At 39.6% G+C, this 26,260-nt stretch overlaps 1 protein-coding gene and 1 pseudogene across 1 annotated transcript; one reads left to right on the forward strand and one right to left on the reverse strand.

Annotated features, from left to right (window-relative positions):
- Positions 1 to 26,179, forward strand: ZNF705D (zinc finger protein 705D). Its single transcript, NM_001039615.3, has 7 exons — positions 1 to 306; positions 15,052 to 15,096; positions 18,786 to 18,868; positions 20,563 to 20,689; positions 21,463 to 21,558; positions 22,095 to 22,177; positions 23,237 to 26,179. The coding sequence occupies exons 3-7, from the start codon at positions 18,857 to 18,859 to the stop codon at positions 23,819 to 23,821; spliced, it is 903 nt and encodes a 300-aa protein (NP_001034704.2). The 5' UTR covers positions 1 to 306; positions 15,052 to 15,096; positions 18,786 to 18,856; the 3' UTR covers positions 23,822 to 26,179.
- Positions 5,691 to 10,198, reverse strand: DEFB108D (defensin beta 108D (pseudogene); annotated as a pseudogene).
- Positions 26,180 to 26,260: the final 81 nt, after the last annotated feature.

Genomic DNA, 26,260 nt, shown 5'->3' on the forward strand with positions numbered 1-26,260 from the left:
CTGTGGGAAGTTTGTTCTTTCGCTTTTTGCAACATAGCTTGCTGCTGCTCACTCTTTGGTTTCGTGCCGCCTTTAAGCGCTGTAACACTCACTGCGAAGGTCTGCAACTTCACTTCTGAGGCCAGCCAGACCATGAACCCACTGGGAGGAATAAGCAACTCTGGACACACCATCTTTAAGAATTGTTAACACTCACCAGGAGGGTCTGCGGCTTCATTCTTAAACTCAGCGAGACCAAGAACCCACCAATTCCGGACACTGTGGAGAGGGACCAGTGGTGGGCAGGGCTCCAGAACTCCAAAGATCGTATGTTCTTTGTCTTCTGCTACCAGGGTGGATATGGAAGGACCATCAGGTGGGGGTGGGGCTAGGCGTGCCTGAGCTCAGACTCTCCTTGGGTGGGTCTTGCTTTGGCTGCTGTGGGGGATGGAGGTGAGATTCCCAGGTCAGTGGAGTTGTGTACCTAGAAGGATTATGGCTGCCTCTGCTGAGTCATGCAGGTTGTCAGGGAAGTTGGGGAAAGCTAGCTTCCAGGCACGCTGAAAGGCGGGTCTCACTCCCACAATGCCCCTTGTGATAGCCCGGAGTCTGTTTCCAGGCCGAAGGCGAATCTGGCTTGAAAACTTACCTGAGGCTTTCTGCCTCCCGACTGACAAAGAAATGGGCTTCAGTTCTTACCCCGCCTGTGAAGTCTGCAAGCCTGATTCACGCCCTCCCCCGAGTTCTGGCCAGGAGGCTTCCAGCCCCATTCAATTTTTTACAAAGTTCAGCTAGAGAGGTTCTTCTCCCTGTGAAGTTTTACCCCCTGCTCCTCTGGCCACCCCCCCGATGGATGTCTGCCGTGCCAGGCAGGAATGGGCTACTTGGGGATCCAGCGGCCTTCCAGTGCCTTTGTGCTACTTCCTCTACTCCTGTATGTTGCTCAGCTCGGCTCTCTAACTTGACTCAGCTCCAGGTAAAGTCACGAACTTCTCCCACAAACAGACTTTCAGCTTCTCCAGTGGGGGTGTGTGTTCATGAGACGAGGGTCTCCCTTTCCCATTTCCGTGGTTAGGGGACTTAAAGTATTTGGGGTGTCTCCCAGGTCCTGCAAGAGCAGTCTGCTTCCTTCGGAGGGTCTGTGGGTCCTGTCAGGATTGCTGGTCTGCTCTTGCAGTCCATCTGGAGCTAAAATTCACAACGCAAGCCTCCGCATGCTGCTCTGTCCAGAGCTGCCATCTAGTTCTGCCTCCTGTCTGTCATAATCCCTCATGACCCTTGAGCTTTTTTTTTCATATGATTGTTGGCAGCATGTATGTCTTCTTTTGAGAAGCGTCTGATCATGTTTTTGCCTATTTTTAAAGGTTTTTTTTTTTTGTAAATTTCTTTAAGTTCCTTGTAGATGCTGTATATTGGATCTTTGTCGAATGCATAGCTTGCAAAAGTTTTCTCCCATTCTGCAGGTTGTCTTTTTGCTCTGTTAATAGTTTCTTTTGCTGCCCAGAAGCTCCTTAGTTTAATTACATCCCATTCGTCAATTTTTGCTTTTGTCACAATTGCTTTTGGTGTCATTGTTATAAAATTTTCGCCCGTGCCTATGTCCTGAATGGTATTGCCTAGGTTGTCTTCCAGGGTTTTTATAGTTTTGTGTTTCACACTTAAGTCTTTAATCCATTTAATCCTGCATATGAAGACCGATCTTTATGTTTAGAAATTCTTTCATCTTCTTAATCTAGTCTATTGTTGAGGTTCTCAAATTGTATTATTTATTTTATTTATTGAATTATTCAATTTCAGCTGTTAAATTCCTTTTCACTCATTTTATGGATTTGTTTGATTGAAATCTGTTGCTGGAGAATTATTGGTTTTCCTTCAGGGATGCTATGTTTCCTTGCTCTTTAATGTTTCTTATGTCCTTACATTGATATTTGAATATCTGGTAAAACAGTTGCTTCTTCTAATTTTATAGATTGGCTTTGGTAGTAAAAGACTGACTTCTGTAGCTGTATCTATACTGTTGAATCAGTAAGACACTTTGCCTTTAGTTCTGAGTTGGTTCAGTAGTTTATACTTCTATGATTTCTTCAGCTATAATCAGCATCACTGATGTCTGTGAGCTCCTCAGTGTCTTAGCCTTCATTGTTAATGGAGGCTGTGGTGAGATTTTGCTGGGGAAAGACAGGCCAGGCAGTTTGGTCCTTGGGCACCAGTTGCATTGGTCTTTGAACTTGTGGGTGATGAACGTGGGCACCAGTGGTTGAAGTTTCAGGCAGGCCATCCTTGGGCCTTCAGGTGGCTTTTTTTTTTTTTTTTGAGATGAAGTTTTGCTCTGTTGCCCAGGCTGGTGTGCAATGGTGTGTTCTCAGCTCACTGCAACCTCCGCCTCCCAGGTTCAAGCAATTCTCCTGCCTCAGCCTCCCGAGTAGCTGGGATTACAGGCATGCACCTCCATGCCCGGCTAATTTTGTATTTTTTTTTTTTTGTTTTTTTTTTTTAGTAGAGATGGAGTTTCTCCATGTTGGTCAGGCTGGTCTTGAACTCCCGACCTCAGGTGATCTGCCCCCTTCAGCCTTCCAAAGTGCTGGGATTACAGGCGTGAGTCAGGTGGCTTTCTCAAGTGCCAGCAGTGACAGTGGTGAGCTAGGGAGATAGGCATGCCCTCAAGACCCTGTGCTGTAGTCATAGCAGGTCAACTCTTGTGACCCCAGATGGCATGTGCAGACACCAACAGTCGTGGCAACATGATGGACAGAGTAGTCCTCAGGCTTTCACCTGGTGCAAATATGTGGGCATTGGTGGCAGCCGTGATGGCAGGCTGGGAAGTCCTATCCTTAGGCTCTCAGGAGACACACAGGTACTTGATGGTGATAGGCATGGTGGATTAATCCCCAGGCTCCCAGACAATGTGCACAGGCACCACCAGGCTGGGTGGGCTCATACTTAGGTCACAAGAAGGCATGCACAGGTGCCAATGACAGACAGCAGTGTGGGTTGATCCCCAGCGTCCTGGACAACGACCTTGGGTAGTGGTAGTGACAGCAATGGGTGGGATGGGCCTGTGCTCTGGCCCTGGAATAGTGCTCAGGCAGGTGAGTCCCCAGGTCCCCTGAGGATGCCTGCAGGTGTGCAGTGGCCCTGCTCCTGGGGGTCAGGATTGCTGTCAGTGTCAGTGGTCCTGGGAAGGTGACTCTCCACTTGTGAAGAGTGCCTGCTTCAGCTCCCTTTGTTCTGGGGGCAGCCTCTCTAGTGAATGGCACTGCCAGTTCCCTGGAGTGTAGGACACTGTGTAGGCTAGAGTGATGGGGACCAAGCTACACTGGTGAGTTCAGCTGGTATTGTGACTCTGCAGGCCTCTGGATGGACATGAGGGAATGTCACTGAGGGTCCAGAGATGTGGAGATGCAGGGGCTGTTGGGCCCCAGGGCAGGATGTAGTCTTTTGGGGGCTGGGCTCTCAAATTGGCATTGTGCCACAGCTGCCTGTGTCTGGGGGCAGGTGCAGATGATCCAGTGCCAACTCCTTCTCTGGGACAATGACCATCACATACACTCCAGGCAGCTCCCTATAGTAGTCTCAGGGCCTGCGAGGGCTGAGAGACCGTCCCTTGGCTAGGATTGCAGTGTCCACAGTGGGAATATGGACCACTGGGGCTCTCTTTTTTACCTTTTCACCACACTGCAGAGCCTGTCCTGGCTTTAAGCTGATTCTGGCTGGGCTGCTGCTTCATTTTCCTTTCCTTCCATGCCTCAGAGATTCCTCGTCACTTTGCTGCTGAATTCTAGTGCCCTCTTTCATGCCCTCTTCAAGGTATGATTATCTACTTGCTGTTTTGGTCTTTCTTTGGGAGGACACAGTGCCTGGTACCTCTAGTCAGCCATCTTGAAGGCCACCTCCTAGCAATGAGAAGATAATATTCTAGGTGACGGCTTTAATATACGTGTCCAAACTGCTTCTTTTCTAGGGAAGCACTTACTCTAAGAAATAAATGTTATATAGTGCAAAAATATATTAAAGGGTCAGTTGGTGATGCGGTTTCAAGAGTGGCACTGAGGAAAACTTGGCACTTCCACAGGGTTGAGTTGGTTGGAATATATCTCAATCTCTGAGATTTTGAACCCAATGTTTTGAACTTTTTGAGATTTCGAGTAGTCCATGTGACATAACTTAACATTGTTTCTTGGCCAAATCAGTCATAGTGAAAAATAAAATCCAGCTAATATACTTTTAAATATCTTGATTCTATACTCTTTCAATGACCAAGGGGAGGCCCCTCACTACTTTACACAAAAAAGAAAACTCTATGAATGAGAATCTCTTCACACAAAGCCACTAAAATTGTGTCTAAATGGAGCAAAATTGTGACAGGTGGTAAAAGCACTCAGTGGCTGTTGTAGGCAGAATAATGTCCCCTCTGTCTCCTGCCAAAGCTATCCACATCCTAACTCCTGGGTCCTGTGAATGTGCCACCTTGTAAGGCAAAGGGGAATTGAGGTTTCATGTGAAATTAAGGCTGTTAATCAGCTGACCTTAAAATAGGGAGATTATCTTAGATTATCCAGGTGGGCCCAACGTAATCATGAGTCCTAAAAAATGGAAGAGTGGGGAGAAGATGAATTCAGAATGATGGAATGTGAGGACTCAATGCTCCATTGCTGGCTTTGAAAATGGATGAAGGAAGCTATGGTTCCCAGGAGTAGCCTGTCATTGCTGGGATAAAGGTGCAGGAAGAAAACTGCAGAGCTTCCAGAAGAAAGCTCAGCCCTGCTGACACCTTGATGTTGGCCCACAGAGATCCATCTGAAACCTGCAGCCTATAGAACTGTCAGATAATGCATTTGTGTTGCTTTAAGTCACTAAGTTTGTTGTAATTTGTGATAGCAGCCATAGGAAGCCAATACAGTGTTTTAAAAGATGGCAGAAAATGCTGAATGATTATGCCCAGTGAAAGCTGGGAACTGAAGGAATTCCCTGAATCTTGGCCAGGCATACATGTACAGACCCAGGGATTTGCCTCCGAAAAGGGTGCTGAAGAAATTGCCTTTATTCTGAGTGCAACTCTTTTTATAATTTAGATTTCTGGTGAAGTCTGGTTGACGTGATTGTGCAATTTTCATATGTGGTGCACCTTTATCAGGGAGAGACAGACCCCTGCAAGGCTGCATGGAATAGGATGGCGCATTTTCCCTGTAAAAAATGGGAGTGGTCTTCCCACATGCAGGGTGAAGGGTTACAGTGCTAGACAAATCAATAGGTATGGTTGAAAGTTCCCCCACCCTCCTGTAAGTCATTTTCAACTAAGAGCTCATCTAGATGGGATAGAAGGATACTGGAAACCAAACAGTAATCAAGTCATAACATGGCATATAAACTTATTTCTTTCTTTCTTTCTTTCTTTATTTTTTTTTTGAGACAGTGTCTTGCTCTGTCACCCAGGCTGGAGTGCAGTGTCGGGATCTCGGCTCACTGCAGCCTCCACCTCATGGGTTCAAACGATTCTCCTGCTTCAGCCTCCTGCGTAGCTGGGATTACAGGTGCCCGCCACCATGCCTGGCTAAATTTTTGTATTTTTAAAAGAGACAGGGTTTCACCATGTTGGCCAGAATGGTCTTGATCTCCTGACCTCACGATCCACCCAGCTTGGCCTCCCAAAGTGCTAGGATTACAGGCATGAGTCACCGCACCCAGCCAGTAATATAAACTTTTAAAAGAGGTTTTGTGCTGGTTGGTTTTGGTTTATTCTTTTTTGAGGATTCAATGAAAATCCCTGTGAGAAAAATGGAGAGAGGGAACGGGAGACAGGGAGATAGGGAGAGGGAGAGAGAAAAAAGAGAACCTAAAACCACCAGAAAACAACAGGCTTCAGTCCTTTTTGTGTGTAGTGCTCTCAATTCTTGGTTGATGCCCCAGAGGCAGGCAGCAGGGTCGGCTATTTAAACATCTCCCTACATGGATTTCTGTTTCGAGGCAAAAGTCCTGACAGGAGCCATTTGGACGTTCACAGATCTCCTTGAATTTGCCCCTGGCTACAGCAGAAGAGGGTTATTGTAAGCATTCATCAGTCTTTACTTTGTATTGAATTACATGGACGTAGGGGGCAGTGCCTGAAAATAATCTTGTGTGGATTTGTGTGTGTGTGTGTGTGTTATTTGATTTCTTAAACACTTAAAAATCTGCTGTCACACAAAAATTTGGATTTTTTGGTGTTCTTGAAAAATCTGAGAATGTTGGGTGCACCTACATGACAAAAGGCTGGAGGTGAGTAGCCCGCTCCCCTTTACAAGTTCTAGAGCATGCAAGTTTCAGTTTATTTCTTCCTTATTATCTTCCAACACTGATGGGAGATTTCAGCCTTTCAAAAAAATATAATGTCTTGTACTATGGATTTTCCTGGAGTGAAAGAGAAGAAAATCTCTTTTGGCTCATCTCTTTTTACTCCTACACACACACACACACACACACACACACACACACACACACACTCTATATGATAGATTATAACAGATGTATCTTTCAAAAGTAGAACTGAAATTTAGACCTAAAAGATAATATACTTTAATTGTTAGAGAGGATACTTTTCCTGTTGAAGGGAACAATATTCCTATGTGTTTAATACACAAATATATCTGTGCCAGTACTTGTTACCCCCTGAGACTTCACACACTACTTATATCTCTGGCACTGGTCTTTGAGGTTGCAATTTTTCTTTAGAAACCATTGCATATATTAAGAGTGAAACATTCAAGGTCTTCTTAAAGGCTTAAAAACTATACTTGTTGAAAACATTGAATAGTATTTCATTTATGTCCGAAAATATCACTGCTCTGGGGATAGGCCACACACACTGAGGTATTTAGATTGAAAAGTGTTTTAATTCTGAGCAGTCTTTGTATGTAACACAGAGCACCTTTTCCATGACAACTTCTTGGCAATAAGAGAAGTATAAAAACCAGCACCTTTTTTTTTTTTCTATTCTGGAACACAAAAGCCAATTCTAGAATAGCTTTCAATCAGTACAGCAATTTTAATAAACATTCAATAAATGCCTATTTAATTGAACTGAAATCCAAATGTATTAGATTCCATTTAACTTTTCAATGGTCACAAAGCAGTTAGTGGATTGATGTGAAGACCAAATATATGCAACATCATATTTATATCTATAAGGCAAATTGGGAAATAAAGGTCATGCCTTTCTGAAGACAATGGTAATTCTAAATGTTGACCACTTGGTAGAAACAAGCTGAAATCTGAGTTTTTTGATCCCTGAGCTTTCCATCTCTTCCTTTTATCTGTAAGTAGTCAGCTACTAAGTATAGTAGTACCCAAGCCCACTGGCCTTGTGCTAAAATTGGCCCTTTGCAGCTGGAAGAGTCATAAGAGATTAGTATAGTGTAGAGGATGAACCACTGACCTGTCTTGTGATATGTGATAAATCACTCTTGGACATCCCTCTGTGGTAGTACTTCTTGCATTCTACTATGGGTGGCGTTTTCCCATCTGACCTCAATTCTTGATAATGAATTTCTTGAGGGCAGGAATCATATCTTATTCTCCTCTGTATGTATATTCCAGAATCTGATTAAAGTCTTGTCTTATAATAGCTATTCAGTAAATGATTGTGGAATAATTGATTAAAATACAGCTATTTTCTAACTTGCAATATGTTTGTGTGGAAATTTGTTGTTACTCTCGGTTCACAGGTCTTTGAATCATGTGTACTATTTTACTATACCTGATTCTATTGAGCATTATATTTTCAAACCACTTTTCAAGAAACTTAATACAGAACTACCATTTGACCCACTAATCTCACTACTGGGTGTATATCCAAAGGAAAGTAAATCAGTCTTGTAAAAAGACCTAAATTTGTATGTTCATCACAGTGGTATTCACAGTAGTGAAGGTATGGAATCAAACTAGGTGTTCATCAACAGTGGATTGAATAAAGAAAATGTAGTACATATATGTCACGGAATACTATGCATCCATAAAAAGGACCAAATTGTGTCCTTTTCAGCAACATGGATGCAGCTGGAGGACTTTATTCTAAGCAAATTAGCTCAGGAACAGGAAGCCAAATGCCACATATTCTCAGTTATAAGTGGGAGCCGAGCAATGAGTGCACATGGACATAAAAATGGGAACAAGAGAGATTGGGTCTTACCAGGAGGGGAGGGAGAGGGAGTAAAGTCTGAAAAGGTACCCTTTGGGTACACCCTACCTGCGTGACAGAGTTATTCATACCCCAAACCTCAATATCACACAATATACCCATGTAACAAATCACACATGCACTCCCTGAATCTAAAATAAAGGTTGAAATTATTTTTAAAAATTGAAATTACAAAAGGCTTTTTAAAATTATTATGTACCATAGTTCATCTGCAAGAATTCAAATAACATTAGGGATTTTAAAAATCTTTCGTTTTCATTTGTTCTTTGCTTGTGAACCTTGTGTATTGCATATTGTGGACACTATGTCTTTTCCAGCCATTTGCTTCAGGAACAAAAGATAGAGTTACAATGAACATAGGATGTCTTGTCTAGTCACTTACCTTAAAGATGAGGAAATAAGCTGATGGAAAGGAAGAAACTTGCCCAAGATTACCCAGTGATCGAGTGAGGCAGATGATAGGGAGAGCACTAAGGCTTGGTATTCTGAGCCTCATTCTGTTTTCCACTCTTGCCCTCTCTCTGTGTCCTCCTCTCCTCTCTAGCCTTCTACAAAAAGTTGGCAGTTCTGCTTCAATGTCTACCTAAGGACATCCAGAGGAGATGCCACCTTTCATTAGGCTGCATTCTTTAGCACCATCCTGTGTTTTCTTCTCCAGTCTTGTTGCATCCCATTTTTGACTGTGAGTCGTGCTTCCGCCTGTGCTGGTCTATCCAATTAGTTGCTTCTATTTTTATTGAGTGACAGTGAAAACAAACAAACAAAAAAATTTGTTTATCCAAATTTGGAATTTTTAAACCTTGATTAAACGAATTGATTTTCTGGGGTTATATATGTAAGACACATATTTTAAAATATTTTTAACTAATTAAAAAAAAATCAAACCCATGTATTTAGCCAGGGTGACTATTTAACAAGTACTAGTGAGACAGGAATTCAGTAATGCCACAGGGATAATAATCTTATGTCAGTCCCGGATGTTGTGTGCTACCGAGTTAATATGATTGGATATGGTATCACCTTTTTTCAGGCTTTAGAAAGTCAAACAAAGGAACAGCACAACAGAACTCTAGGGTGGGATGTATAGGGAAAGCCAGGATATTAAAACAAATTGTTGACTCTGACATTTACCCCACTGTTGGGAAAAGCACTTCAGTTTCCAGGGCCTTATTTTTTTTCTCTATAAAACAGCAAAAATAGAGGCAATAAGTTGCTTATTCATCCTTGAATACACATGTTCAGGAGTTCCAGAAAATTTTCGAATCTACTTTGGGTGTCTGGTAACCACCTTGGGCAAATCCAAGAAGTCCTATACACACTTCTCCAAAGCATGTCTGTGCAAGGGGCCTTATACCTGTGATTAATGTTCGCATGCTGAATGCAGTAGGCTATGCTCTGGTGTGGGGTCATCCCTGGTTCCTGTGTTTAAATTCTACAAGACTAGATGCTGAGAAGGAAGAGGGAAAGCCAGGGATGGAGATGGAGCCTTAAGGGGAAAAGTCAAGCCCCAGGGACCAACAGTATTGGGGAGCAATAGGTTAAAGATTTCTTAGATTATAATAATATTTTCAAAGAGACTTCTTCCACCAATCCCTTCTTTCTGAGCCTACCACACCTTTGGCATAGCTCTTATGCCAGTTCTTAGGATAACTAACTTTTGCCGAAAGAAACTAGAGGAGCTTTGGAGACAAAAATTTAGTAGAATAATGCCTGATTTTTAATTTTTGAGGTCTAGTAACTGCTAGTAAACTTGCCTAATATGGAGATGGAATAAGAGGGTTTCAAAGACTTGAAACACCATTGACTTCATTTAACTGAGTTGCTATGGAGAATTAACGAATTAGATGGCTGCAGGCCTCTCAGCCAATGTGTCTTCCAGATTTCCTATGAGACCCCCTTTTCTGGTCACAGGTGATGGTGATTTCTCTTTGAGTATTGAATCCCTGTAAGGTGTTAGGCACTCTACTCTTACCAAGTTTATTTTGTTACCTGGTAGAACTTGGCTCATAAAGAAGAAAATGGTGAAGAGGAGGACAGCAATCCTCACGGCTGAAGAAAGAAGAAAGTTGGGCTTCATTTCCAGGAGGCAGAGAAAACTTCCTTCTGTGGCTGTCTAGCACCAGTGGAATGTCTCTGTTTGGATAAGAAGGGTCTTTCTGTACCTCATTAGGGATAGTCACAGATAGAGGTGTTCTATGCACGCAAAATTGCTTTTATGGGAAGACTGAGAGTCCTTTTTTTTATTGGACAGCCAGTTCATTAGAATGATGTGGGTGCACAGTTTTGGCCAGAAAACCTTGTTAAATGGGGACATAAGCTACAAACATTTTGGCAAAAGATGAAAGTTTATGAACAAACAACCATTTATATTGTTACAATAAATTAGACTGTGTTGCGAAATCAGTTGGTTTCATTAATGACCAGACATTTTTTTAGTGAACACTTCCCAGACTTTACTAGCCCTGCTAAGAATTAATCACCCCACTTGCTCCTGGTCTGAAACTCCAAAGTGCTTTGTTTATGTTACAGTACTTACTGCCTTGTGTGTTAGATTAGTGAATGTATATTTGTCTCATCCACTGCTGTATGAACTTCTTGCTTGCTAGGACAAGGCTATATTCCTCAGAACTGAGGAGGGAGTTGAATCATGTGGCTATTTATTCTCAAATCCTCTTCACCAAGTGGAACAAAACAACAGGGAAAGACCACCGCACATGGAGGCAGGAGGTCTGGATTTGGGTTCTAGATCTCTAGATCTATTACTAACTGGAGGTATGGATATAGTCAGGAAAATTGTCTTCCTTAGGTGCTTCCTTGATAGCACCTATAAAGGTCGAGATCTGTTGGATCTAGATCAGGGGATTCTCAATCATTACTATGCAGAAAATCAACTGGGAGAGTTACTTTGCAATACAGATGCTTAGTTCCATCTCACGATATTTTTATTTTTTTAAAAAAAATTGGTCAAGTATTTTTCATTAAGTAATGTAAACTTTCTTAGTCTACATCTAATAAAACTCCCACCAGCATACAAATACATTGAATGATATTAGCAGCAGAATCTTTAAATAAAGTAACCATACACAACTATGAGGCCACCTTTTTTTCATTGCTTATTATTTCATGCTATTTGTCACCATTGTCATCATAATCAGCCTCATCCTACATTGTTGAACACCCATCATGGACCATATGGCATAAACACTTTTCCTACGCATAAAGGAGCATATGTTCTCTATATGTATATAAAATTAATGTCTGAACAAAGTGGCTTAAACAAGGCAGAAGTTTGTTTCTCCCTCACTTAAATCTATAGTTCTACCTACCATGGCTAGTACAGATACTTGCCAAATTCATTAGGGATGCAGGCCCCTTCCAGCTCTCTGTTCTGCTATACTTTAGAAGAGGCTCTAGTTTGGCTGCTAAATTCCCACTTACCATTTCTGAATTCCAGGCAGCAGGAAGGAAAAAAGCCAAGAGAGAAAAACAAGGGAACATCTACCCCTCCTTTTAAGGTTTTTAACCAACCCCTCTTGTTTTTTTTTCACCGACTTTGTTGAGCTATGATGACATTTAAAAAGCTGTACATATTTAAGGTGTACATCTCAGTGAGCTTGGGGATAAGTATACACCATGAACACATCACTACCATCAAGATTATAACCATATCCTTCACCTCCCTAAGTCCCCCCCCCTTTATTATTATTTTTTTTGGTAAGAAATATTGGTAAGAATACAAAATCTACCCTTTTAGCAAATTTTAAGTATGCAATACAGTATTCTTAGCTGTAAGCACTATGCTGTAAACGAGACCTCCAGAACTTACTTACGTGGTATATCTGAAACTTTGTGCTCTAACCACATCTACCCATTTCCCCAGCACCACGGCACCTGGCAACCACCATTCTACTCTCTGCTTTTGTGAGTTTGTCGATTTTAGATTTCAAATACAAGTGAAATCATATAGTAATTGTCATTCTGTGGTTGGCCTATTTCATATAACGTAATGCCCTCCAAGTCCATCCATGTTGTCACAAATGACAGCATTTCATTATTATGTAACACTGAATAATATTCCATTGCATATATGTATTAGCCATTTATCCTGATACTCTCCCTCCACCTGCCTCCCAACAGGCCCCAGTGTGTGTTGTTCCCCTCCTAATATCCATGTGTTCTCACCGTTCTGCTCCCACTTGTAAGTTAGAAGCGAAGTGTTTGGTTTTCTGTTCGTGGGTTAGTTTGCTGAGGATAATGGCTTCCATCTCCATTCATGATCCTGCAAAGAACATGATCTCATTCCTTTTTATGGCTGCATAGTATTCCATGGTGTATACGTACCACATTTTCTTTATCCAGTCTGTCACTGATGGACATTCGGGTTGATTCCATGTCTTTGGTATTGTGAATAGTGCTGCAATGAACATATGTGTGCATGTATCTTTATAATAGAATGATTTATATTCCTTTGGGTATATACCCAGTAATGGGATTGCTGGGTCAAGTGGTATTTCTGGTTGTAGGTCTTTGAGGAATCACCATACTGTCTTCCACAATAGTTGAACTAAATTGCATTCCCACCAACAGTGTAAAAGTGTTCTTATATCTCAACAGCCTCATCAGCAGGTAGTTTTATTTAAAAAATTTTTGAGAAACCTTCATACTGTTATCTGAAATGGACATAGTAATTTGTATTTCCACCGCAAGTATACAAGGGTTATCTTTTCTCCACATCCTCGCTAATACTTGTTATACATCTTTTTGATAATAGCTATTCTAAGAGGTATCAGGTGATATTTCATGGTGGTTTTTATCTGCATCCCCCTGATGATTAGAGATGGTAAGAATATTTTCACATATTTGTTGGCCATTTGTATCTGTTCTTCTGGGAAATGTCTACTCAGATCTTTGCTCATTTTTATTATTATTATTATTTTTTTGAGATGGAGTCTCGCTCTGTCACCCAGGCTGGAGTGCAGTGGCGTGATCTCGGCTCACTGCAAGCTCCGCCTCCCAGATTCACACCATTCTCGTGCCTCAGCCTCCCAAGTAGCTGGGACTACAGGCACCCACCACCATGCCCAGCTAATTTTTTGTAATTTTTTTTTTCTTTTTTTAGTGGAGACAGAGTTTCACCGTGTTAGCCAGATCTTTGAGCATTTAAAAAAAGAATTCAACTTTTATTTTAGATTCAGGAGATGCATGTGCAGGTTTTTACATTGGCACATTGTGTGATGCTGAGGCTTGGAGTATGGATGATCTTGTAACCCAGATAGAAAACATAATACCCAATAGACAGTTTTTAAGGCCTTTGTCCCCACCTTCCCTTCCCCCTCTAGTAGTCCCCAGTATCTGTTGTTCCGATCTTTACATCCGTGTGTAACCAACGCTTTGTTCTCACTTATAACTAAGAACATATGGTATTTGGTTTTCTCTTCCTGCATTATGTTAGAATAATGGCCTCCAGCTGCATCCATGTTGGTGCAAAGGACATAATTTTTTTATGGTTGTGTAGTATTCCATGGTGTACATATACTGTATTTTCTCTATCCACTCTAACATTGATGGGCATCTAGGTTGATTCCATGTCTTTGCTATACGACCTTGGGGAAAGAGAGTCTTGCTGCTTGCTTGTGGGACTTGCCTTGGAAGGTAGATAAGTTCACTGCATCCTCCAACTTTTTATTTCTGGTGAGTTCTCCAAGCACTGAGATGTGAACTGGCCTCATTCCCTTACAATGATACTGTTACCAGTAGAAGAGATTCCAGTTTCTGGCAGCGTATCTGCATGGGTCCATAAGCAACTTCAGTCCTTGCCTCCTCAGAAGAAATAATTTGACTGAAGGGCATACAGCAGAAAAAGAGACTGAGCGGTAAGTTTCAGAGCAGGAGTGGAAGTTTATTTAAAAAGGCTTTAGAACAGGAAGGAGAGGAAAATTCTCTTGGAAGAGACCCGAACAGATGCCTGAATGTCCAAGAAAGAAAAGAGAAGAGCCTTTAACCTTGATCCTGCCATGGGTTTTCCTCTTTCCCATGATTCTAACTTTAGGGAGCGTTTCCGGCTTGCACAGTGCTTTCCTTACCCTTTGAAATTGAGCATGCACGGTGTGTTTAGGGAGTTATATGCATGTCCATCTGAAGCTTTCTTTCCTTTTCCGGTGGAGTGTGCCCCCGGAAGATTATGCTTTGCCATTTTTGTCTCTTAACATGCATGCCCAAGAAGTTGCTTCTTCCTGAGGTCTGCATTTAACTAACATTTTTGATGTTAACAGGTGTAGACCATCAGGAAATGGCCTCTCTTTGGTGCTGCCTAATTATCATTTTTAGAGAGGCAATGTGATAATTGACAGGCCATCACCTGACATTTCTAGTGGGTAGGGGAAGAGCCCTCTCCTGCCCTGCTCATGCTCTTCTACCTGTAACAAGACAAGCCTTGTATATCATTAGACATTTGTCCCATCAAGGCAGCATCTCATTATTACATTTTATTGTGTGAATTGTTACTTCACATTCTCATAATCTGTGTTCACTATTTGTGTGCCTTTTCCACTTTTGTTTTGACCATATCTCATTATTTGAACTGCCTCCTCCAAGATTCTAGATCTGCATTGGCCAATATAGTAACTACTAGTCACATGTGACTATAAACTGTAAATTAATTATAATTAAATAACTAAATGACATATCCTTAGTAGTAATAGCCAAAGTCTTGGCCAAACTAGAAATTCTGTAACTACATATGTGTGGTAGTTACTGCATTGGACAATGCAGATATAGAGAATTTCTTTCATCACAGAAAATCGTGTTGGGCATGTTGGCTACCACTTATTTTTAAATTCTATTTGTGTGGTTTATAGTTAAATTATATTCTGCTTCTCTATATTCATTTCCTTTCACAGATTTTCTCAAGCAATTTTTAAATTTCATTCTTTTACCCTATTGAGGTAAGTACTTAGATTATTTTTTTAAAATAATGCACAGCAAATAATTTTTCCATCGATATTGTTTTAGCTTTATTGTATTGGTACTTTTATGTACTATATTCAGGTATTATTATTTTTCATAACTTACTTTTAAAATTGTGACAAGTTTATTTAAAATAGATTTCTCCCTTGATTTTCAGATGTTAGATTCTGTCTTCCATTGCTGTATTTTAATTTAATTTAATTTTATTGTATGTAAATATGTTGCATATTCCTTTTTTTAAAATGTGAGATATTTCCTCTCTCCTGTTACATAAACTTTGTATGCAGTGTTCATTATGCACTTTAAAAATAAATATTTTGTTTCAGGGCATGATGCTTTCACACATAAAACCTTAGAATAATTTTAAATTCCATTCCACTTTCACCATTCCTGAACTGCTTTGAATATATTGGAGGTTGGAAGCCATGAGAGGCTTGCAATCCTGTCAAGATAATAGGATTTTCCATTTATAGTGTAATCTGACTTGCAATCCCGTCAAGATAATAGGATTTTCCAATTATAGTGTAATCTGATATATATTCGTTCTGGTTTCATACTTTAAAAAAATCTATTCTCTTTTACTCTGTGGTGATCTTTGCTTTTCTATTTTTTCATTGCTAGAATGTGAGCTGCTGTTTCCCTAGCACCTCAGATGTCATTCAACATTGTATAGCACTGGTGTTGAGAATTGAGAGAATCTACTAAATAATAGCACTTTTCGAGACTGCAGTTCTGAATTAAAAGGAAGGGAAAGGACAGGCAAAACAATATAGACATCAGCTATTTTTACTGAAGATCTGTTGGAGAACATGGTTTTGTTGTCCAGGAACTTGAGACCTAATACTGCATTCCTAATACTTCACTAACGTGTGTCTAAATAGCCGTGAAAGGGCTAAGAAGTCACAAGTTGGCCTCTTAATTTTTACGGGTGCCCTTAAAATATTAAGGTAATATTGAGGATGCAGAATGGCTCATTCCTCATGACTTTTTAAGAGATCTGGGCCGGGCACGGTGGCTTACGCCTGTAATCCCAACACTTTGAGAGGCGGAGGCTGGCGGATCACCTGAGGTCAGGAGTTCTAGACCAGCCCTACCAAAATGGAGAAACCCTGTCTCGACTAAAAATACAAAATTAGCCGAGCACGATGGCGCATGCTTGTCATCCTAGCTACTCAGGAGGCTGAGGCTGGAGAATTGCTTGAACCCAGGAGGTGGAGGTTGCGGTGAGCCGAGATCGCGCCACTGCACTCCAGCCTGGGCAACAGGAGTGAAACTCTACCAAAAAAAAAAAAAAAAAAGAGAGAGAGAGAGACAACTGGAGGGAGATACTAAGCTGTGCAGGCTCTCATCTTGAAGTCACCAAATACATAAGTTGTTATTTCTGCTCTGGTGAAAAGTTTGTCAATACATTTTTTTTCCATGAATTAATGAAAATTTTAGACCTATAACATAAGTTTTTAAAAGTTTCTCCTAAAGATTGCTTGTGTATGTATGTGGTTTAAAATATATTTAATCTCTACATCTTGAAATCGTTTTGATAGATTCCACACAAGAGTCCTTTATGAAATAAGTATGCTTTAACTTTCTTATAATATTTGTCCTTTTTTGTCCCTGGCACGGTCTGTATATGACCAGTTAAATTACTTTTAGTTCATGTTTGGGTTATAATTACACACAAATATTCTCTAAAGCCCAAATCTTATTTTGATATTCGAGGAAGAGTTTACATGGTAATAATATTAAGGGTTACAGCTGGTTACACTGAAGCTTTGTCGGCATTCTCTAATATCTTATTTTTTTTGAAGGAATATCTGTTCTGCTTGAATTGTAGGCTACATAATACATGTACTGTCAGGTACATTCATGGAAGGGACAGGCAGATGGAGTCATATGTTACTGGAGTCTTGATGAACAGATGTAGAAAATAGTTCAAGGAATAAGAAAAAAGTTGATATTGAAAAGTGCTTGTTGAAGTCTGTAAATGTGCATTAAATGTGGCAGTAAAAATAGACACAATGATGTTTGGGAACTGGGGTCTAAATGCTGGAGTCCCCAGAATCATAGAGAACCTTGGTTAGGGGAGTAATTTTGTCAAAAAGCAAGAAGAGGCAGTGACAGGCAGAATATAATTAAAAGTATTGCTGGGCCATTTTCTAATTTTGTAATTTTGTCATATTATTCAAACCCTGTTGATCATTTATTAAATTGGTAAATAAATTATAATCAGCAGGATTATTATGAGGGTTAAATAAGGAAATATATGTACATCTGTAAGCACAATGTCACAATTAATACAAAGTTACCCTTTTTATTTTTCCTGGACTTCATGTACAAATGGGTCAGTAAATTTTTTGTTTATGACACATAATTATCACTTGCACATAAAATATATTTAATTATTTTTATATTTTTAGCAAGGAAATAATACATGCATGTTTCCCCCTGTCTCAAACACATACACTCATATAAACATATGCACCTATATACCTACATATCTATGTACGAATATATACATGGACATGGGTATTTCTCAGCAAATATGTATCATGATAATCACAGATATTGCAGCTAACAAAGACTAATATAAACCATGATTGCAAGAATTTTAGATACCACGTTAGTGAAACATCAGATTGAGCTGCTAAATTTCTCCCACCCCTATGTCATTTTGTATTTTCTGAGCATCCTAGACGATTGTGACTGTATACACAGGACAGAAACACCATGACTCAGGGTACTCCTGCTAATTTCCGATGCAGGAGATTTTAAGGGCTAGATTAGCAGGATGGGAGTGTTGACCCTCTAAGTGAAATAAATCCCTCAATTCATTATCCCCATCCTAAAACAGATTTTTTTTTTTTTTTGAGACAGAGTCTCACTCTGTCGCCATCGCTGGAGTGCAGTGGTGGGATCTCAGCTCACTGTAATCTCTGCCTCCTGGGTTCAAGAGATTCTCCTGCTTCAGCTTCCTGAGTAGCTGGGATTACAGGCAAGCACCACCATACCCAGTTAATTTTTGTATTTTTAGTAAAGATGGGGTTTCACCATGTTGGCCAGGCTAGTCTCGAACCCTTGACCTCAGGTGATCCACCTGCCTTGGCCTCCCAAAGTGCTGGGATTACAGGCGTGAGCCACTGCACTCGACCCTAAAACAGATTCTTACTTGATTATTTCCACGTTCCAAGGGGAAATACAAAAGTCAGAGTTGAGTGAAAATAAAAGTGGAGTAAAGCTTCAGAAGGCTGTGGTGGGTGTTGGAGAAACGTTGCTAGGGCATAAAGCTAGGATAATAAAATCTGAGAAATCCCAGTGTTTATCTATAGGTGGAAATCATATTCCACATGTGGATGGAGTCAGGGATCCCTGTGTTTTAAAATCAGTGAGGGAATTGAATATCTGGACTTGTGCCAATTAACATACAAAACTCCGTGCTTTTGATGTTCTCATTCACAAGATATCTGTGTTCCTTGTTTATTAGCAACCATAGTCATAGGCTTCCTAATTTTGACCACGGGAAAAGAGGAGAGGCCTCTGCGTGTTTGTGTCTGTTGGTTAGGCTGTGGTGCAGCTGGTGTCACACTTCAGTGAAAGTCTGGCTTTTCATCACAGGTTGATCTGAAAATTGTGCACAAGACTGGTGTCTCACATGTTCTTTCTCCAACCTCAGCTTTTCTTAGTGCCTAAAGTGTCTGCAAGTGGAAATCCAGAGGAAGACAGAGAGAAACTGAGTTCCTGACAATGCATTCACTAGTGAGTAGGGGATGCCTCTTTCTACTGAAATTATACCCATATTGCTGGCAAATGGGCAGTTTTCTCCAATTTGCATGGGTGTTTCATTTTTATTCTTTTTTTGTTTGTTTTTATGATGTAAAATCCACCCAGCCTGGGTGTTCCAAATGCAGTCAGGAGGCTTTCAGGTATCTGGCCTCCAATTAAGTTTTCTCAGGACTCTAGGTTGGGTATCGTGTGTCAAAGACTCCTAAATTATCAATATAATTTCTAATATTACACTACTTTATTCCAGCCCTTATTAAGACTATTTACAAAAAAAGATATGAGAGGTTTCATTTATATATTTCTTTTTCTTCTATCCATCCTATAATCTCATAGGGAAATAATTGACCCATTAACTGTACTGTTGGCTGAAATAGACTTAGGATTGTGATGAATGCAGACGACAGAGATGAGTGAAGAGCAGAACATCACAGCCCAACAATGAGTCTGATGTTCTAGCAGCTGAGTTCAATAAATCCAGTGTGATAGGACTTGGGCAAGAGCTGTGCAGTGTTGAGGGAAAAGAAGAGTTTTATAAAATATATTTGAGCTTTTAAAAACTTTGTGAAAGCACAACTAAAGAAGTCATTACTATTCTTATCCCCATTCATTTTACCTTTTGGTAATTAACTTTTTTGCCTTCTGGTAAGTGAAAGTAACATATAGGAAATATAATTATTTAATTATGGTTGCACACTCAGAAGAAGGAATATAGTAGATAGAGTACAATTTAGGGTTCTGTGGAAATGCTTTATAAGGGCTGGTTACAAAAAAAAAACAATGAAGAGGCTTTCTTAATCTTTGAACAAGTGAAGTGAGAAGGTCAATTTAAAAGAGAAACAATGATAACTGATGTTTGGACTGCCGAGAGAAAGTTGAGAACAGGAGGCTTCATATCACAGGAATCATCGGACTAAGATTTCCTCAGTATAGCAGCCTCAGCAGTCTTGTCTTGTGCTGCTAGACTGTCTTCAAGCCTTTTCATGAACACCTGAATTATATAACATTAGAGAGACTATATGTATGAATTGAATCCTATATTCTGCATAAAGCGTTCAGTTCTGAAGAATGCTGGAGTCTGGTTCATTACTTTCTAACTTTTGAATGAATAAGGGACCAATGACTTATATTTAATAAATATTTGCTAGGTAGGAAACACATTTTCTATTAGTTCATTAGATTATTCAAAACACATCATTGGTCTTTTAACCATTTGATTGGGGAGAAACCTGTCGTTCATCTAGAGAAATAATTTATTTCATCGCAGTCATGTTTAAAAAGTAGTAAATCATGGTTATTTGCCTTGTGACAAATCTGTAATTTACTTGAAATTCATGGTAAATTTCATTTTATTTATGAATGTTCAAGTGAAAATTTTATAAGCAGTTATGTAGAGGTGATTAAGACATTACTGAAAAATATCTGGGTTATATTATGCCACACCTCATGCAATATTTCTTTATAGTAAAGTTTAATGGATTCAGAGTGGGTATATCTCTGTGAGTGAATCTGAAAGGCAGATACCAGCTTAGTACTGAGAATGAACTGGCTGGAACCAAAAACACTGAGTATTCTGCATACCCAGCTCCTAGCTATATCATCTCAGCCTTCCTCTTCCGGACATTGAAAGGGATTTCTCTGTCTAAACTAAAATGTCTGTGATGTTTTAGGAGAAAGTGACTTTTGAAGATGTAGCTATTGACTTCACCCAGGAAGAGTGGGACATGATGGACACATCCAAGAGAAAGCTGTACAGAGATGTGATGCTGGAAAATATCAGTCACCTGGTGTCCCTCGGTGAGTCCCTCAACATTCACGTACATATGTAGACACACATTCGCTCATTCATTCAATAAGTGTTAGAACAGCTTCCCCATATCTCACTCTAATCTCTTCTCTGATTCTCTCACAGATCTCATCTGAAAAAAGTTTGAACTCTCTAAATCTATCTTAAATAAATATCTTTCTTTTTATTTTATTTTATTTAGTTTGTCACTCAATTAGAATGTAATCTTGACAAGTATTTCATGGTGTCTTTGGTACTCAGTCTCTAATACTCATAACAGACCTGGGAACATAATGAATATTTTCAATGTATTAAATTACTCTCTAAATAACTCTTCTGCTTTAGTCTATGCTTAGGCTGAGACCAATTAGTGAAAACAATAGCAATATCTTTTCCATATAGAACACCAATTATTTTTGTAAATCGAATGTTTTTTTTTGTTCTGCGTGAGAATAATAATAAACACAATGTGCAGAGATTTAATTACTCTCTTTCTGAAAAGATTGTGTATTATGCATTGTGTCTTGGAACTTAGGCATGGACTCAGCATTCATAGGTCCTGACTGTTTTGAATTTCCTTTTCCTGATGGCCCTTTGGTTTGGATTTATTTTCTAGTCTCAAGTTGGGTCAGAAAAATCCTGGGGAGTTTTCTGTGTTCTAGGTCTTGTGGCCTGAGCTGACCTTCACTGTTTTTATTCTTCCTTGATAGCCTGCCTTACACTTGGTGATAATGCACATTTATTGACAGTGAACTCAAAACACATGTATTCTTTCCACTAACAGGGTACCAGATAAGCAAATCCTATATAATTTTGCAGCTGGAGCAAGGAAAAGAGCTGTGGCGGGAAGGAAGAGTATTTCTTCAAGACCAGAATCCAGGTAAGCAACAGGGTCCTGTGTCCTAATAGGAGGAGGTGCTTTCTCAATGAATAATATCAGTTGAATATTAATTAGTGGTTTTATTAAATGAGTGATAATTTCTAAAATGTAGGTTAGGCTACTGGAGCAGAATTCCTTAGATGTTATTATCATTTTGTTCATGTGTCAGATGTTACTCTTGTGTCCTCTTTTTTTTCTTTTCTTTTACTTTTGGGAAAAAGACAATTCATGTACTTGGCTGGGGTTAAACTTTCATATGCTGACCCTTTCCCTGATACCCCTGTGAAGACTATCCCTCTATTTACTTGCCTGATATCTCATCTCCATTTTAACTCTTTTCACATTTTAATTTTAAAAATCTTTTCTAATTGCTGACACTGTACAATCTATTTCTTCTATTCAAGTAGTTTCTTCATTTGACACACTTGCCACATCTAAGTGTCAATTTTTGAAAAAAAGTAAATGGGCCTTGGGGCTTTTCAAACAATTTTATTACCATAATACCAATGTAACAATTTATTTTTCAATTATTTCAGACAGGGAAAGTGCCCTTAAGAAAAAACACATGATATCCATGCATCCTATCATCAGAAAAGACGCATCCACCAGTATGACAATGGTAAGTTTTATAGCTGTGTACACCAGTCATCTAAGTTAAAGATATGGTAATGGGTTAAGTTAATAATGAAGCACAATCACCTGAGTGTAATTAGGCTGGCATTAAGTGCTTTCTAAGCAAAGAAAAAAACTGGAGACTTTGAATTTAGTGAATACATTGACCTCTGTTCTAAATCATAACATGAGATCTCTAAAATAGAGCAAGTGCATATACATTGCTCATGCCCAGACATTGAAAGATATTGATATCATCACAATTATGCAATAACTCTGCAGTTGAGATCTTACAGAAGAGAACATACCTGTGTCTGCAGGAGATAATGTGTATGCAAATGTCAATCGAGAAAAATGACAAGACAAGTCTCAATCATTTTAGGAGATTTATTTGCCAAAGTTAAGGACATGCACCCAGGGGACAGGTGTATGCCTTTCTCCAAAGATGATTTTGAAGGCTCCAAATTCAAAGGGGAAAGGCTGGGATATTGAGAAGTACACAATTTTCATGTAAAAGGTGGGTAGAAAAAATAGTCATTCATGCATTTTTCTGGCTCAGTGAATCTGGATTTTTTTACATAACATGACATAAACAAATGAGGCAGAGGAATAATGCAGGAAAGCTGCATTTTACATAAGACAACATAGGCAAAATGGGGACAGGGAAACAATCAGATATGCATTTGTGTCTGGTGAACTTGGGATGACTGCACCTGTAAAGACAAGTTATCAGTTTGCATTGCCATGGTGTAATTTTAACAGCTCATGAGGAATTTCCTTGTGGGCAAAATATGGGGGAGGCATGTAGCTTTTCATCTTGTAGTCATATTATTTAGGAACCAGAAGGGGGAGGCAGGTTTGTGTGACCCAGTTCCCAGCTTGATTTTTCCCTTTGGTTAAATGAGTTTGGGGTCCCCAAATTTAATTTCCTTTCACACAAGAAACATTGGAAAGATTTCAACTGGGGTCTACCACTGAATGGTTGGTCTAGGATTCAAAGGTAGTGAAATGAATGTATAGATATATGTGGGTAAACCATTAAGAGCTTTTAATCTTTGTCCCAAAGGAGAACTCTCTCATTCTGGAGGATCCTTTTGAATATAATGATTCGGGAGAAGATTGCACTCACAGTTCCACAATAACTCAGTGTTTGTTAACTCACAGTGGAAAGAAACCCTGTGTCAGCAAACAGTGTGGAAAATCCCTTCGTAATCTTTTGTCCCCTAAACCACGTAAACAAATTCATACTAAAGGTAAATCATATCAATGTAATCTATGTGAAAAGGCCTATACTAATTGCTTTTACCTTAGACGGCACAAGATGACTCACACTGGAGAGAGGCCATATGCATGTCATCTATGTGGAAAAGCCTTCACTCAGTGTTCTCACCTTAGAAGACATGAGAAAACTCACACGGGAGAGAGACCATATAAGTGTCATCAATGTGGGAAAGCCTTTATTCAATCCTTTAACCTTCGAAGACATGAGAGAACTCACCTTGGACAAAAGTGTTATGAATGTGATAAAAGTGGGAAAGCCTTTAGTCAAAGCTCTGGCTTTAGAGGAAACAAAATAATTCACATTGGAGAGAAACCACATGCTTGTCTTCTATGTGGGAAGGCCTTCAGTCTGTCCTCCGACCTTAGATGACATGAGAGAACACGCACTGGAGAAAAGCCATATGAATGCCATTTATGTGGGAAAGCCTTCAGTCAATGTACTAATCTTAAAAAGCATCAGAAAATTCACCCTGGAGAGAAAATTATAAACTTCTTCAGAACATATTCTGACTTTAGATGACACAGTGTTAGGAATGACGAAGGTAAGGAATGTGGAAGAGACTTCAGCTGTAGTTGTAGCATCTAAACATGCCAAAGGACTCACATTTTGAAGAAATACTGTAATCAACATGGAAGATACTTCAGTTGCCTTTATTCTTCAGCCCACATCAATAAATTCATATGGAAGAGAAATTGTATGACATGTATGTACCAAAGACTTGTTAGTGATCTGAGCATAAATGACATGAGAGAGCTGAAACTGTCAGCATAATCAACTAAAAGTCTTCAGCAACAGCTTTAACTTAAAACATGTGGGACTTTCAGGTAGAGAATCTCTAACTCTGCATTCAGTGTGAAAATGTTTTTATTTGCAATTTATTGTCAAATAACATGAGAAAACTTTACTTGGATGAACCCTTTATTTGTATTTTTCTGTGAATGAACATTCAGCCAAGCACCAGGCTTGATGTTCACAAGAGAAGAGTGACAAAATGCTGCTAAAATGGAAAATAAGAGAGGAAAGCCTTCATAAGCTAAATAACAAGGGAAAGTCTTTCCAAGGGCAATGAATTCTCTTGGAATACCAAATACTTCTTACTGGAGAAGTTATGCAATGAAAAATCATGAGAAATCCTTTCTTCATAGAGCAACACATGTGGCACATGTGAGATTTCACACTGGACAAAACAGGGTTAGCATCTTGAAAGAAGAAAATTCTTTAGTGGTAATTCATTTCTTAGTTGACATTAAGTTTCTCACGTTGAGGAGCTATCAAACTTGAAAATCACTGTGGAGAAACCTGATAGATTTCTCATCAGAAAAGTGAGTCAAGAAGGTGGACCTCTAGAAAAAACTCTTAACACATACTTTAGCAAAATAATTCAGAAATTTGAGAAAATATCTATTCATAAAAATGTGGCATGTAAATGCATAATAGCAAAGTGACCAAGGAATAAATTGAATGCAGAATTATATAAGAAATCTCATTAAACTTTTCCAAAAGACCAATACTTACAAATATTGAAAGAATACAATCTGTTGTTGAAAAAACTTAGTATGTTGGTGAAGCCCTTGTTTCATTTATGCAGCCCTAACAAACTGATTTGCATCTGAACTCCTTGGGTGAGATTCTTGGTGGAGATTCTACCCCAACTTCTGAGTCTCCCCAGTCTTCAACAGCTCTTTCCTCACAGCTCACCTCCCTTTACTTCAACGTCCACCAAAACCACTTGTTTCCATCCAACCCTCGAGTTGACACACCAGGGATCTTCAGCCCCACTTGCTAGATTTCTCAGTTTGTCATTGCATAGATTTAGCAGGGAAATGGAGGCTGTATCAAAGACCCCTAGTATATGCATTTGGGTGTCCCCAGCTCTTGCCTCTGTCTCTGAGCAGTTACCTGGGATCAGAGAATAAGGCAGCTCTTCTCTTCTATCCCTCAGAAGGCTCTTGAAATTTTGTCCCTGGAGCCTCTCTAACTGGAAGTAGCAGTTCATCTCATGACACCCCACATTTTATTCAGGTGAGTCCTGAGTTATTACACAGAGACAGACACAGCTGTGCTCCTTTTACTGCAGTCCAGAAGATAAAACACCAGCATGATAAAACAGCCGAACCTGTCAGCCACCTTGCAAGCCTTTTCTATATTTGATTCAATGTACTTTTCCCGAAGCAAAATGAAAGTTCTCACAGAGGGGCCCTCCTCTGCCTTGTCCTCAGAATTGGAAAATGTATTGTCCGTGAAGGAGCCTCACCACTGAACCTAAAACTCAAGAGAAAATGTTTCCTGAATATCAAGTGGGATGACTTGAAATTTTGTCAAACAGGCAGAATCTTAATACGATCGGCCTTACTAAGGCTAAATGGCCTTATCCATGGTTGAAATTGACACATCATCATATTAAAAAATCTCCACGAGTGATTGATTTTACTCTGCAGCCAGGGTTTATGTCAAGTGTGAGGATAATGAGCAAGAAATTCAAGCCCTTGGCAAACTGGTTGGAGAGGCAAGGACTGTGTCCAGGCAGAGCTCATATCATTATTTATTGTTTAATCTATTTAATTAAATATGTAATTTACCCACAAACTGTGGCTGACATTATATGTACTCCTGAGCCACATTAAGATGTACTATTTGTGCTGTGAAATTCTATGGGATTTGACAAATGCATGGTGGCAGATCTCCAGCGATTATTAAAGCGTAACACAGAATGCTTCTCTTATTCAAGCTCGTCTTCCCTCCACATAGAGGGAATCAATCGACTTTTGTATACTGATTTTTGAATTTGCTTCTTTATTTCCATCTTCT

The sequence above is a fragment of the Homo sapiens genome, chromosome 8, assembly GCF_000001405.40.
Source record: "Homo sapiens chromosome 8, GRCh38.p14 Primary Assembly".
Classification (NCBI taxonomy): Eukaryota; Metazoa; Chordata; class Mammalia; order Primates; family Hominidae; genus Homo; species Homo sapiens.

What these genes read in the sequence shown, in the direction of transcription:
- ZNF705D (NM_001039615.3), top strand. An exon ending in CAGTCACCTGGTGTCCCTCG is followed by an intron (nt 20,690 to 21,462) that starts GTGAGTCCCTCA and finishes TTCCACTAACAG; the next exon opens with GGTACCAGATAAGCAAATCC. An exon ending in TCTTCAAGACCAGAATCCAG is followed by an intron (nt 21,559 to 22,094) that starts GTAAGCAACAGG and finishes CAATTATTTCAG; the next exon opens with ACAGGGAAAGTGCCCTTAAG.